The sequence below is a fragment of the Homo sapiens genome, chromosome 9 (genome assembly GCF_000001405.40).
Source record: "Homo sapiens chromosome 9, GRCh38.p14 Primary Assembly".
Lineage (NCBI taxonomy): Eukaryota > Metazoa > Chordata > Mammalia > Primates > Hominidae > Homo > Homo sapiens.
The window spans coordinates 123,213,959-123,230,686 of NC_000009.12; the positions used below are offsets into that span (position 1 = coordinate 123,213,959).

General features: G+C 37.9%; 1 protein-coding gene across 9 annotated transcripts in view; it reads right to left on the reverse strand.

Moving 5' to 3' along the window:
* Positions 1–16,728, reverse strand: part of STRBP (spermatid perinuclear RNA binding protein) — a 159,093-nt gene that overhangs the window by 104,465 nt on the left and 37,900 nt on the right. The window lies entirely within an intron of this gene.

The following is a 16,728-nucleotide window of genomic DNA, read 5'->3' on the forward strand; positions in this document are numbered from 1 at the left end:
ACCGTTTGATCCAACAATCGTACTACTGGGTATCAACCCAGAGGAAAAGAAGTCATTATATGAAAAAGATACTTGTACATGCATGTTTACAGCAGCACAATTCACAAAATTGCAAAAATGTGTACCAGCCCAAATGCCCATCAATCAATGAGTGGATAAAGTGTGGTGTATATATATATATATGTATACACACACACACACACACACACACACACACACACACACAAAATGGAACAGTACTCAGCCCCAAAAAGGAATGAATGACATTCTCAACAACCTGGATGGTACTGGAGACCATTATTCTAAGTGAAGTAACTCAGGAATGGAAAACCAAACATCGTATGTTCTCACTAATAAGAGGGAGCTAAGCTATGGGGATGCAAAGGCATAAGAATGATGGGTGGTGAGGGATAAAAGACTATAAATCAGGTTCAGTGTACACTGCTTGGGTGATGGGTGCACCAAAATCTCACAAATCACAGGTAAAGAATTTACTCATATATCCAAATACCACCTGTTCCCCAAAAACCTATGGAAATAAAAATTTTTTATTAAAAATTAAGAAAATAAAAGAAAGAATCAGACCACCTGTCTACAGAGCTGGGACTCCTCATGACTCATTATGCTAATAAAGGTTCTGCAAAACAGACCATCCCTCTCTTGAAAGAGTCAGGTCAAATGCTACCTCTCCAGAAAGCCTTCCCTCATCCCATCCCAAGTGTAACATTAATTCTCCCTCCTCTTTGTTCTCAAAACAAGTTTTATTTCCTCTCAGACAACTGTACCTACCTATACTATATTCATACAGATATGAATGAACAAATATGAAAATCTCAGTATTATGAATCTTGACATTTATGCACGTGTTTATATGTGTGTGGGTGTATATATATGTACAAAATCCTGGCTGATTTTTTAAAACAAAATTTTACTTTAGTCTCTGGGCATATAGATTGCTTCGCATTATAGTTTCTGGTGTCCACATTTTTGCTCCTCTTGTTAATAATCACTTGGTATGGATAGTGAGTCCACTGTTCCTGGGTTATGGTCTTAGGCAAGCATGTAACTAAGTCAGTGGAGGTGCCTGATGCCAAAGCCCAATTTCTTTCTTTTTTTTTTTCTTAAAGAGATGGGCTCTTACTCTGTCACCCAGGTTGGAGTGCAGTGGCACAATTATAGCTCACTGCGACCTCGAACTCCTGGGCTCAAGCGATCCTCCCACCTCAGCCTCCCAAGTAGCTAAGACTACAGGCATGCACCACTGGCTAACTGTTTTATTGTAGAGACACGTTCTTGCTATGTTGCCCAGGCTGGTTTCCAACTCCTGGGCTCAAGCGATTCTCCAGCCTCAGCCTCCCAAAGCTCTGGGATTATAGGCATGAGCCACTGTGCCCAGCCTGAAGCCCATTACTTACATAGCTCACCCAATCATTACAGCCACTCTGATCTTAATTCTTAAAGCTGGGGTTAGGGTAAGAACCAGAGCCATGCCAATCTCATTTACTATTCAGTTAACAAATATTTATTGTATACAAATTATAAAAATTCAATAAGGCCAGGCATGGTGGCTCATGCCTGTAATCCCAAAAATTTGGGAGGCCAAATTACCTGAGGTCAGGAGTTTGAGACCAGCCTGGCCAACATGGTGAAACCCTGTCTCTACTAAAAATATAAAAATTAGCCGGGTGTGGTGATGCGTGCCTATAATCCTAGATACAGGGGAGGCAGAGGCAGGAGAATCGTTTGAACCCAGGAGGCGGAGTTGCAGTGAGCTGAGATCGTGCCATTGCACTCCAGCCTGGGAGACAAGAGCGAAACTCCATCTCAAAAAAATAAAATAAATAAATTCAATAAATACAGTGTTGGTAACATTCTAAAATTCTACGAACAAGAAGGCCCTCAGCTTCCAAGTTCGATTCTGGATTCTTATATTTCCAAAGCACAAAGTTAGGTCTACTCCTAATGTCTGATAACAGTGAAAGAAAGATTTCGGACATCTCATTTCCCACTCCTCTGCTGAAAATTAGACTCAACCATGCTTACTCTGTAACCTACTCACAGAAATAAGATGTTTAACCCTTGGAATGAAATTTTTCAAAATACCATCCTTAACATCTTAAACCCTCCACCCTTATTCTGCATTCAACTTAAGACAGTGCCTTCTCCCACAGGAAGCGTCCTCTCATCTTGACCTGTACCGCTACCCCCTTCCTAATCCTTTGCCTGGCATGGACTGAATGAAGAAGACCTCCCATATCTCACACTGCACTAGTTTTGCCCTATGTTTTACCACTTACCAGCTCTGTAACTACATGTTCCTAGAAGGCAGATACTGTGTTTTGCTCTTGGCTGTATACCCCTAGTATATATCACAATGCCTAGATAGTAAGCTCTCAAATAGTTGTCAAGCGAATAATCAAATGAATAAATGATTGATGACTCAATTATAATTCCTGGTACTTCAGGGTGGGAATACGTGCAACTCCTCATCATTCTTTATAGTTGGAGCACAGCTAGGCTCATAATTTACAACAGACAGTCTTGCCATAGAAATGTCTATCATGCTCCATGCAAATATATGTCGTGACCACAGCTGCTGTGCTTACTACCCTTTAGTCACTGAGAAGCAAATCCAAGCTTATCAGAGTGTACTTGAACTGAGGTCCTGACCACGATTCATTCTAAAGATGCTTTATTCTCAGATAAAGGGAACTACCCATATAAATAGCAAACACTGCTACGATATCATGTACAATTACATGTCCCATCTTGTAAAACTGATTACCTTGGCAAGTGAGCCTTCATTTTTTATCTCCCATGTTCCATAGAGTGTACAGGACACTTTGCATTAATTACCTCAGTTAATATTCACATCAACTCTACAAGGTAAATGTGATACAATCAGTCTCTATTTTAAGGTTTACAAACTGAAACTCAGTTAAGTCACTTGTCCAAAGGTACACAAGGGAAAATCTACAATTTAAATCCAAGTCTGTTAGGTGCCAAAACCTATGGTTCTCTACAATTTTAAGTGCCCTCAAGTAAAAGATACCTGCCTTATCTGCTTCTCAAGGTGCTATGAATCAACTAAAAATTGAGTTCCGATGTCAGGAAGAAATAATCACCCAATAACTTAAAGTCAGGCTTCCCATTTAGTATTACATATAAATACAAACTCAACCCGAAAGATAAAAGGAACCTCAAGAATCAAAGCTGCCATAATGAATGAGTTACTGATACTATCTTGTAAAAATTTAAGTCACTGTTAGAAGTTGGGCTTTTTCAAAACAAAGTTACTCAAAATGATAGAGTAGAAGGATAATCTAACCATCTGTTAACAGGATGGTTAAAGGTTAGGAAAACAAGACCAGAAAGAAAAAAAAGCATCTTATTCCAAGAATAACAAACCATATGCAAAGATACTCCCTTGCCAATTTATAAGAAACACAAAGAATGTGAAAAAGAAATGGGAAAAATAATGAGACAGTATTTAAAGAATGTCTTTTCTAAGTTGTCAGTGAAAACAAGGTAAAAATCATTGCCAATTAGACCACAGAAGATCTGAAATACAACCTAAGAACAGCACCATGTGTTTACTTCCTCCGAAATTAAAAGCATGTCCACTTAAAGGCATATTCTCTTGTGAAATCATTCTAATCAATGCAAACAGTCACCAGATAAAGTTAAACCTCCCTTAAAACTATAATTAGCTACTAGTTAGGTTATTTTCAATAAAGGCATTTGATATAATGCTGAACTATTTTAAACTTAAACATATAAGTGGTGTCCATTCTTATTTCCCACTGTCCTTTACTGACAATATTTGAAGATGCTGGCATTCAGTATTGCAAATCCACACTGGCTTCTCTGCCACATACGTTTGCTTTTCAACTTCTTAAAGATTAATGAGCCTTCACTTAAATGCATTTCTAGCTTGTCAGTCCAGATATTTCAATGGCTTTATACAATTTCTCTTCAAATAAAATTTTAACAGACAAGGCAGTTTTTTATTCTTTATAGTTACGGTGGAAGCTTAGTTAGCATCCTCACACTACAAACAATTCCTAAAGAAATCAAATTAAACAATGCCCATAGATAATGTTTCTAAATTCAGGACCCAGCACAATTCCTACATCTTTCCTATGGCATCTTCACAGCTTCTGTCTATGATATACTGTCTTATCACAGATTTAACTAATATTACCTCCTTCTCTCTCTTCTTACTACACATTCTTAGCATAGAATGTTTTCTTCACTGTTCTTCACCATTATTTTTATAACTATAATGAGTTAGCTGAGGAGTGGACTGGGAATGATATGTAACATGTAATCAAAAACAATGCAATGAGGAAATAACCTAAATGAATTATACAGCTTATTTATACATTAAATATGACTTTTTTTTTTTTTTTTTTTTTTTTTGAGACGGAGTCTCGCTCTGTCGCCCAGGCCGGACTGCGGACTGCAGTGGCGCAATCTCGGCTCACTGCAAGCTCCGCCTCCCGGGTTCACGCCATTCTCCTGCCTCAGCCTCCCGAGTAGCTGGGACTACAGGCGCCCGCCACCGCGCCCGGCTAATTTTTTGTATTTTTAGTAGAGACGGGGTTTCACCTTGTTAGCCAGGATGGTCTCGATCTCCTGACCTCATGATCCACCCGCCTCGGCCTCCCAAAGTGCTGGGATTACAGGCGTGAGCCACCGCGCCCGGCCTAAATATGACTTTTAAAGGACATAAATTTCCTATATAAGGTGCAGGGGTGGGAAAATATAATTTGGTTAATTATCCCATATATATTCTATTAGTGACTGGAATTATGATTAACCATGTGCCAGGCATCAGGGTGAATACTAACATACATAATCTAATTTAATAACACTAACAATAATAATAAAATGATGCCTCACATTTACATAGCGCTTACTGTTCTAAGTACACTGCATATATCATTTCATTTATCCTTGCAACAACCCTATAAAAGAAGTACTATTATTTCCAATTCACGGATGAGGAAATAGAGGCCTGAAAAATTTAACTAACCCACAATATAAATGAGGAAGTGACAAAGTCATAATTGAGATTTAGGTTGGAAGATAAAATCAAGCCAAGCTCTTGCCCTGTAAATAATCACTGTATCACCCCGTCCCTAAACCATTCTACAAGGGCTCCCTATGCCCTAAAAGACAGAGAACAGGAGTTTGCAATCTCCATAATGACACACCACCTCACATACAACCTTATCTTCAACAATATTTATAATCTTCAGCTAGAACCAAATCAACCTTGCTGCCATTCCCCAAATCCATCATTCAGTCCCCATGCCTTTATTCACGTAACTTCCCCCGACCCAAAGAGTCTCTACGATTTCAACCCCCCACAAACTCTGCCTGGGGTTCAGACCAAGTCACACCTCCTTCACAGGATATTCTCTGACATATCCAGCCAATTGTAAAATTCTCTTTGCATTAAACTCTTTTAGTAATTACCACAGGCTATCACCATTTTAGCTATTAATCACATACTGCCTCATATTACAAATTGAATGTTTTCAACATGCTTTTCTCCAAACTATAAATTGAAGGCCAGAATTATGTCCCAAAATCCAGTATCCACCTCAGTTCATAGCAAAGTTATACATATAAGAGAAGCTCAATAAATACTGTTAAATTGATGAACGTGTACTTTTATTTAGCGAGACGCAGTAAGGCAAAGTGGGGAAAGTATAGGCTTTGATGTCTCACAGACTTGGATTTAAATCCACTATTTTCTAGCTGTGTGAAAGGGACAAGTTATCCAGAGTTTTTATTCTCATCTGTACTAACAACAATAAAACCTGTATTTCACAGAGTTGCTACAAAATTTAAATGAGAGAAAAAAGACAATTACCTTCAAAGGAGGGACACACTGCCAGCTCTCAATATTAACAATGGATCCAGAATGGGAGCTTCCCCGTGCTTAAAGAAAATAACTGCCAATACACAATTCTATATCTAGTAAATACACAGCCTTCAGGAATGAATGCAAACAAATGAACTTTCTGATAAACAAAAACAGAGTATGCCACAGGTAAACCTGTATTAAAAGAAATTCTAAAGGGTATTCTTCAGGCAGAAAGAAAATTATTACAGATAAAAAATTAGAGATTCAGATGGAAAAAGAGCAAATAAAGAGGTAAGCATATGGGTAAATCTAAGTGAATATGAACAGTTATAACATTATTTTTAAAATGACAAATATTATTTAATACAGTGATGCATTTCTTAACAAAAGTGATACAACCTAAGAAATGTGTCACTAGGCAATTTCATCATTGTGTGACATCATAAAGTGTACTTACACAAACCTAGATGTTATGGCCTTCTATACACCTAGGTTATTATAGCCTATTGCTTCTAGGCTACAAACCTGTACAGCAAGTTATTCTACCAAATACGGTTGTAGGCAACTGTAACACAATCTAAATGTATCCACACACAGAAAAAGTACAGTAAAAATATGATATAATCTCATGGGACCACTGTACATTGTACAAGCAGTCTGTCATTGAAACTTCATTGTGCGGTGAATGACTAAACTTGTGGGCTTAAATGTATACAATAATGTAAACAACTAAAATGGCATGTAGGTGGAGAACAGGGTAAAGGAAGTTAAAGTATTCTAAGATGCAGACATTGTCAGTACTACCAGTTACCAATTAACAATAGACTCCAACAAGTCAACAATGTATCACTGTATTTTTTTAAGAAACCCACTAACAGGACTGTATAACTAACCTCCAAATAACTGAGGAGAAAACATGATTTATTTTTTAAAATGCCCCAGTACAATGCCACTTCCTTTCAAAGTAGGAAGAAATAACTTGTCAAAAATGAAGAAACCAAGACTTAGCAGGGTTAAGTGACTTCCAAGTTGCAGAGCTAGTACGCAGGATTGGAATTTGAAATCAGGTCTATCTAGCTCCAAAATTTATATTATTTCCATGACATCACGTTAATTCTTGGTGGAAAAAGCAAAATGACCAACTGACAATAAAATAGAGACGTTTGTTTTTTGTTTATAGAGATTTTTTTTAAGGTAGTGGAAAGAATAATTAGAGAAAGAAAACAACAAAGAATTTTTAAAAAGAGAAAAGGAGGAGCTAAGCTGGGTGAAGCGTTGGGTCTCTCGGGCCTGCCTGTGTTTCAGGTCATAATCTCCTTCATCTTGGCTGTGGCTGTGACCCACAACATGCTCCTACTAAGGGGTGCCCCTTTCCTACCATGACTCCGGAGAGCCCTTCCTCCCAAAGACCCTCTCTCTGTCCCTTTGCCATTCCTCCCACATCTTGCCACTCACATCCTCCACGGGTGGTGGCAAAAGACAGAATAGGCATGCTCTTCACGCTCTATCAGTAACCAGCTGATGTGTCCTCAGACAAGTCTCCCTGGGTCGCACTTTCCTCATTTGTAAAAACAAGGGGTTGGATTAGAAGATCTCTTAAGACCCTTCAGAGTCATATTTTATTATCAATTAACTGTTAAAAATCTACACTTTGAAAACAGGAAAATTAAAAGACTATTAAAATTAACACTTGTGTACTCTTCATTTAGGTTCATCAATAGTTAACGTTTTGCTACATTTGCTGTATCTCTGTGTTTTGTGAAACCATTTGAAAGTAAGTTGCAGACATCTTGACTTCACCCCTAAATAAATACTTCAGCGTCTTTTTTAAGAATCCAGACCAAGGGTTTTAAAGAACGCTCCACATTCTGATTTCTCTGATTGTTTCTTCATTTCCGGCAATGATTTAAACAAAGGTGATGGTGCATAGCTCTTACTGCATCAAGTCAGGGGGTACTTGATACCAGCTCCTTGATCTTAAGTTTTAGTCACTTCATTAAGGTGGTGAATGACAGATCTCTATATTGTAAAATTATTTTCCCTTTATTAAGTAGAAAGTAACCTGTAAAGTGATACTTTGAGACTGTGTAAATATTTTCTTCTCCCAACAGTCTTTCACCTAATAGTTATGGCATCCAGTGATCGTCCTTACCTGAACCAGATTATTATGTGGGGTATACAAAAAGGTGATTTTCTCATTATATAATTCCTTTTACATTTATCACCTGGCAATCTTCTGCAAAGAAGATTTCGCTTTTCTCTCTTTCTCTTCACCTCCCTTCCTACCCCTCTCCTCGCTCTTTCCTTCTCTTTCTCACTATGAAATCATGGCAGTGTTTTCTTTTTTTTTTTTCCACTCAATGTCTATTACCATTTTGTAATGTTCAAGTTGTCTCAAATTTGGCCTGTGGTAGCCTTTACAAGTGAGTTCCTGTGTTCTTCAGACATGTGCCCCGAGCCTTTCACAGCTCCCTTGCTTTTTGACACAAGATGTTCCAGACTTAGACAGCACTCTTCTGGTCCCACACCTGGAATCAGCCACTTCTCCGAGGTTCCTTTTAGTGGCAAATGGTATTAAAAAAACAATATATGGGCACTAGATATGCTCATCTCTGCTGGCTGCCATTGCTTTTAGGCCCTTTCAGTCAATAGAGCAAGTAAATATTTTTAAAACCATGAGTTCAACAAATTACTAATATCAGAAATAAAAGAGGAGCCACCTATACTAAACTGTTGGGAATTAAAAAGATAATCAAGGAGTACTATGAACAATTCTACGGCCACTGATCGATAACCTCAGTAAAATGTATCAATTCCTTGGAAAGGCATACTCTTCCGAAGGTCACAGTAGAAACACAGATCATCAGAATAAGCCTATGCCTCTTAAAGAAGTTGAATTAACATTAAGAATATTCCAAAAGGAGAAGGCACCAAACCCAGATAGTTTCTCTTATGAAATCTACCAAATTTTAGGAATCACAATCTACTTTTACAATATGATCCAAAAATTGTGCTTAAGTATTTACCCAGTTGACCTGCACAGGAACGTTTATGACAGCTTTATTTATAATCATCAGAACTGGAAGCAAAAAAGATGTCTTTCGAGGTGAATACCAAAAAAAAAAGGCAAATGATAGCAATATTATTCAGTGATTTAATGGAGTTCACCATCAAAGCATAAAAAAGACATGAAGGAAGCTCAGATAGATAGATGATAGATAGATAGATAGATAGATAGATAGATAGATAGATAGATAGATAAAAATGAGCTCATCTAAAAAAAGCTATGTAATATATTATTCCAACTATATGACATTCCAGAAAGGGCAGAACTAAAGACAATAAAAATATCAATAGTTGCCAAGATTTCTGGAGAAAGAGGACAGAGGTTAATAAGTGGAAACGGGATTTTTAAAGCATGAAAGTATTCTTTATGAGACCATAATGGTAACCATAACATTATAAATATTTCAAAATTCACAGAACTGTATAACAGAATGAACATTATGCAAATTATACTTTAAATAATAACATATCAATATTTGCTCATTAATTTTAGCAAACGTGCCAACAGTAATGTAAGATGTTAAAAATAGGTGGAATTATGAGGTGGGAGTGAGGGGATAGAATGATATGAAAACTTTTTGTATTACATGCTCAATTTTTATGTCAATCTAAAACTCTCCAGTTAAAGAAATACATTAGTTTTTAAAATAATAATATAGTACCACTGTTTCAGGGAGATCTCTTCATACTAATGTTCAACAATCAGGTAATATCTAGACATTATGAGCTCAAAACATTATTATTAAATGTGAAGCAAAATTGGAAAAAAGAAACACAAAAGCATGAGTTCATATAGATAATTCCAATTCAACGTTACAATTTTTTTTTATGAACCTCTTGGATTTTTTTCCTCTTCCACTAAAAATCTTGATTCTTAGTATTTATTTATATTCATATATGTGCTTTATAATTAACAGAAATTACAGGGAACAGTTCAACATTTCTTTGCGGGATAAGCTCTCAGAGGCAAGAAGCCACTTTATTAATGGTTTATTTTTTACTTCTGACACAGGCAGAACCAAAGGTGCTAGAGTAGAGCAACAAAGTAGAAGCAAAGAAGAGTACGCAAGGTGCTCCAGAGATGCTATAGTTAGAAAAATTCCACATGGATTTACACTGGCAGAATTACACTTCACAACATGTTTCAAAATTCCGAGTTCCACAAAATTCAAATGCCACAAAACAAAATACACAGTGAATAAAAAAGAAAACATCTACTCATATTTATATATTAGCTCTAATCTTTACAAGGTGGAGCCCCATTTTATAAAGAAACTAAAAACTAAGAGATTAAGCTAACCAAATTCACACCCACTCATGCCTTGTCTAATCTTGTCTCCAATCATGGGCCCAAATCTTTTTTGTAACTATTTCCTAACAGCTGGACACACCTGTAACAAAAACACAATTCTTCACTCACAGAACAAAACAGCTTTCATTAACTCTCTCGCAGTTCAGGAACTAAACAGGGCTACCTATTACCTCCTGAATCAGATTTCACCTGACTTAATTCAATCCTATCACCCATTGTTCCCATCACTTCTAATTCCAGTCAGACCAGTGAGTTCTCTGTTCTAAAAAATGCCAAGATAATTCCCACCCACAGACATACTCACGATTCATCTTTTCACGCAACTTTCACGGAGCATTTACTACGTGTTCTAGGCCTGTACTCGATACTAAGAGGAGAAAGACAAAACAAGAAATCCCACCTCAAAGAGTTAATAACATTATAGGAAAGAGATACTTGTAACTGATTAGGTAGACTCAAACAAGTACTATACTGGGGTACAAAGTCCTATTGAAAACAGAGGAAGATGTCAAAAAGAAGTGACCAATTGGAACTTACATGTACTGCTGGTAGTAGTGGAAAGTGAAAAAAAGATACTTAAAACTTTTCAGCAGACTCTCCTAAAGCTGAACATACACAGAACCCATGACCCATTAGTTTCACTCCATGTTACATACCTAGAGAAACATATATATTTAAACCAGAGGACGTGCAAATATGTTCATAGCAGTACTTACTTGCATTAGTCAAAAACTGGAAATAGCCTATGTGTCCATCAATAGTACAATGGATAGTGTTATACTCACACAATGAAACAATATGAAATCAACAAAAAATGAAGTCCACAAATATTGAAAGAAATGCTGAAAGAAAGAAACCATACACACACAATTTTGATTACATAAAGTTTGAAAACAGGCAAAACTAGTCAAAACCAGTGATTCAGTGGTGGAGTGGGGAGTGTGCAGTGATGAAGATGAGGACACGGGAGAAGTTTCTGGGTGCTGGCAACGTTCTATTTCTTCTGGGTACCGGTTATAAGGATGAATTCACTTCAAGAAAATTCATCAAGCTATACACACTTATGATTTATGTAGTTTGTTTTACACTTTAACAAAAATTTTACTTACAAAAGACAGATGGGGAAAAAGGAAAACAGAAAAGTAAACTAGCATTTATATTCTAGTAAGTTCCTAGACACCATGGAAATTATTCTATCTAATCACAGCCACCTCTGGAGGTTGTGGTATACACGTGTTATTTCCTTTTTCAGCCCCACATCTGAATCCTCTTTCCTATGTTTGGGGAATCCCCCACCTTATGAGGCAGCGCCTACCTCCAGATGGTGATTCAAAAGCAAATGACTCAAAGAAGCTGGGTCCTCAGAAAATCTATTCTGGCAAGTGAAAGCAGCAAGCACAGCAGCTTCATCCAGTTTCCAGAGACAGTAATTCTACCTACAGTGTCTAGCACCCCCTGATGGTATTGGCGATTCAACCTCGTCTGTGCCTAGAATCTTGTTCCTGGATGCTAACTTCTCAGCCTATTTCTCCAGCCCTCCAAGAGATTCTGTGAGCCACCTAACACCCTGTTCATAAGTTCCTTTCCCAGACTCAATTTCTGTTGCTCACAACTAAAAGTCTTGACTATTACCCCATTTGATAAATGTGAAAAAAAGCTAATAACTTTGAAAAACAGTTTGGTGGTTTTTTATAAAGTTAAATTCACTTATCATACAATCCAGCGCTCCCACACCCAAGGTATTTGCCCAACAGAAATGAAAATGTTTATAGCAAATTTACTCATAATGGCCAAAAACTAGAAATAACCCCAAAATCCATCAACTGGTAAATGAATAAACTGTGGTAAATCCATACACTGGAATACTTCTGGGCAATAAAAAGAAATGCACTCCTGATACATGCAATTACACAGATGCATCTCGAAAGCACAGAGGCTAAATGAAAGAGGTTTGACTAAAAATGAGTCACACTTAAGAAATCAGATCAATGGTTTCCAGGAGCAGGAGGTGAAGAGAGGGAACTGACTACATGGCACTGAAAGGAACGTTTTGTAGTAATGGATATATCTTGATGGTGGTTACATGACTAAGTCTGTCAAAATTCATAGAACCGTATATTCAAAAAAAATGTATTTTACTATATTCAAAGTATACGTCAATAAAAATGACTTTTTTATTATTAAAAGGGACTCAAGAATGGCCAGAAATCTTCCTCAAGGTCACATATATACTAAGCAGATTCAAACTCAGGTTCTAATTCAGATGCCATGCCTTGAAGGTTAAAGAGATCTTGCTAAAGGCACAGAAAAGAGAAGATTGGGAAAGATAAGGGAAACTAAGTTGTCCTTTTCTCCCCAAAACCTAATCAAAATTTTTCAAGGCCTGCCTCAGACCCCCACCTCTGCCATACAGCCATCCATTTACTTATTCCACAAATATATCTTGAATGGTTACTATGTGCCACGCACTGTGACACTTTAGGTTACATCTGTAAACAAAACAGAAATCCCTGCCCTCATGGAGCTTCAGCTTAGCGGTGTTGGGGAGTGAGGGGGTGGCGGGGTGGGGAGGAAGAGCAATGTATCACTGTCTCAGTCCATTTTATGCTATTATAACAGAATACCACAGATTTGGTAATTTATAATGAATAAAAATATATTTGGCTCATGGTTCTAGAGTCTTGGAAATCCAAGACTAAGGGGCCACATCTGGTGAGAGCTTTCTTGCCACGTCATAACATGGTGGAAGGCATCACATGAGCGAGAGAAAGAGATCTAATTCACAGCCTCAAGTTCTTTTATAATCAGCATTAATCCATTCGTGAGAGTAAATTCCTCATGATCTAAACACCTCCTACTAGGTCTCACCTCCCCAAGTTGCTGCGGGGATTAAGTTTCCAACACATGCTTTTTGGGAGACGCATTCAAACCACGGCAATCATAAACATAAGTCAATAATGTACTCAATCAATGTTAAATGTTATGCAAAAATTTAAAAGAGGAGAATCCAGAATGTAGGAGGAGCAAGTTACATAATTAAAGGTAACCAGGGTAAGCTTACTGAATATGGTGAGCTTTGAGGAGATCTGAAAATGGTAAAGAACATTTCCAACAGAAAGAACATCAAGTGCAAAGGCCCTGAGTCTAACACACACCTGTTTGAAGAAGAGCAAGGAGGTGAATGCAGTAAGCCAAAGGATAACAACAACAGATGTGGTCAGAGAGGTAACAGGGTCAGATGAAGTAGGGCCTAGTTTGGCTGTTACTGAGTGAAACAGGGAGGCAATGCAGGGTTTTGAGCAGAAAATGCATATGATCTGACATATTTATTGTTTTCTCTTTTTTTTTTTTTCTTTTTTTTTTTTTTTTGAGATAGAGTCTCACTCTGTCGCTCAGGCTGGAGTGCAGTGGTGCAATCTTGGCTCACTGCAACCTCCGCCTCCCAGGTTCAAGCTGTTCTTGAGCCTCAGCCTCCCAAGTAGCTGGGATTACAGGTATGCACCCCACACCTGGCTAATTTTTGTATTTTTAGTAGAGACAAGGTTTCACCATGTTGGCCAGGCTGGTCTCAAACTCCCAACCTCAGGTCATTCACCCACCTCAGCCTCCCAAAGTGCTGGGATTACAGGCCACTGCACCCGGCCTGATCTGACATATTTCTAAAGGATTATTCTGGCTACTGTGTTGAGCTAGACTGTTGGAGGTAAACATACAGCAGAGGATCTAATTAGAAATCCATCACAACGATGCAGGTGAGACATGATAATCAGACGAGGGTAATGGCAACGGCAGAGATGGTAAGAAGTGTTACGACACTGCAGATATTTTAAGGTGAGGTCAACGAGACTTCCTAGCAGATTGGATGTGGGATGTGAGAAAAGGAGTGTAGGTTAACTCCATCGGTTTTGGCCTAAACAACCGGAGGATGGCATTGCCTTGATCAGAGATGGGGAGACCTATGGGTGGCACATATTTTTAAAGAAAGAAAAGGAGTTGGGTTTTAGACATGTTCCATTTAAAATGTCTAACATCCTGGTGGGCAGGCAGCTGGACACATGGCTCGGAAGGACAAAAAGAAGAGATCTAGGTTAGAGATATCAACTTGGGAGCCAGTTCAAGGATAGTACTTAAAGATGTGTAAGTCTAGATAAAGATCTCCAATGGACACGCCAATTTTTAAAGGCAGGAGAGAAAGGAGTAAATAACAAAGGAAACTGACAAGGATTGACCAATAAAATGTGTGTGTGGGGTTGGGGGACAGGGGGAGCTGCACACAACATGCAGTATCCTGGAAGCCAAAAGTGAATAAAGTGTATTACGGAGGAATGAATAATTGTGTCAAATGCTGGGCATAGGTCAAACAAAATGAGGACTGTGAACTGACTGTTGAATTTAGGCACTTTGATGTTACTAATGACCTTGTCAAGGGCACGTTCAGCTAAGAAGTTTGGGAAATAGAGGAAAAACCTGATTAAAGTTGGCTTAAGAGAGAACAAGATGAAGAAACTTGAACTCTGGTGGAAATGTAAAATGGTACAGCCATTTTTGAAAAACAATTTGGCAGTTCCTCAAAATGTTAAACACAGGGCTATAATATGACCCAGAAAGTCTACCCTACTAAGTATGTAGCCAAGATAATTGAAAAGATACATCCACACAAAAATCTGAACACAAATGTTCACGGCGGCATTTTTTGTAACAGCCAAAATGTGGAACCACCTAAACGTCCATCGACTGATGAATGCACAAACAAAATGTGGCATATTCATAAATGGAATATTAGCCATAAAAAGGAATGAAACACTCATACATGTTATAATACGCATGAACCTTGAAAACATTATGCTAAGGGAAAGAAGCTAGTCACAAAAGACCACATATTGTATGATTCCATTTACGTGAAACATCCAGAATAGGCAAATCCACACAGACAGAAAGTAGATTAGTAGCTGCCAGGAACTGGAGGAAGGGTGAAACAGGGAGTGGCCACTAAGGGGTACAGAGTTTCTTTTTCAATGATGAAAATGTTCTGGAATTTAGACAGTGGTAATGGATGCACGACTCTGTAAATATACTAAAAACCACTGAATTGTACATTTTAAATAGCGAATTTTAGGGCATGTGAATTATATCTCAATAAAGAAATAGAAGAGGGATCATATGAGGAAGGAAATTAAAAACAGTTGAATAGAGACTACTTCTAGATGTTTCACTACAAAGAAGGGCAAAGAAATGAGACAGTAGCTGGCAATCAAAGTGGGATCAAGTATTTTTAACACTGGAAAAATAACATGTTTAAATGTTGATGAATGATCCAACAGAAAACAAAATATTGATGATGCAGGAAAATCTGGAGGGGGATTCTCAGGGCAATATCCTTGAGTAGTTGATAGAGGATAATATCTAATACACAAGTGAAGAGCTTGTTTTTGATAGAAGCACATGTAGTTTATCTATGGTGAGAGGAATGAGGGCAGAAGGCACAAGTACATGCTTCAATTTCCTTAGTGAAGTAAGTAGCAAGGTCATCAGTTGAATGGGAGAGAGGGTATTATGGATTTTAAAAGGAAGGGGTCGGAATAATCAAACAACTGTCTAACAGAGTGACAGAGTGAATGGGCCAGGTACATATGATTGCCTAGGAGCATTAAGGACCCATTTGAGGTTCAAGGTTATGAATTTTAAAAAATAAATAAGATCATTCAGCATAGGGTGTATGAAGGTATGTGTTTTCCAGCTATGTTCAGATGCACAGGTACAGGTGCAGATTAGGAGGAGAGTCAGATTTAACCAGGGTTGTAAGTTTTGCCAAGTAAGTATGATTAAAGTGTGGGACTATACAGACTATACAGAGGAGTTAGCATAATGACTATGGAATTTAAGCTGAGTGAGGAAGGGAATGTGAACATCAGGGATATAAAGGACGATGAAAAAGCAGTAGGATCAACAGATCTGGGGTCCATGGTCTGACAGATGTCCACAGAAAATAAGATCACTAGATGAATGGAGCTCAAGAAAATAGGAGGCCAATGTGTTGCAAGAATCACTCTTTACACTCAAGCGCAAGAAATAATTCCAGTCTCCGAGCAGCAACTGTATTCTTATAATTATCACGTAACTTGACATTGAATTGTCATTTACACAGCCTTCCCCAACCCAAACACTGGCAAACCTAGTGCAAGTCCCATGCATTTTTGTCTATTTTATCTAGTTACTTATTTAGTAACTTACATACATTTCCTAATACACTTCTGGGAAGATAGTAAGTGCTAATAAATACTTATTGATGGATACAGATACAGGACCCTGAGGACAGACAAGTAAGCAACCGTCCTTTCCGTATCAGATATATCACAGACAGCTGCTCACCATTTACAGCTATCTGCCTTCCAGACTACATCACCCAATTCATTTACCAATCACTGTCTTTCATATTTATTTTTCAAAGACACTGTAGGTGATGAGGCAATCT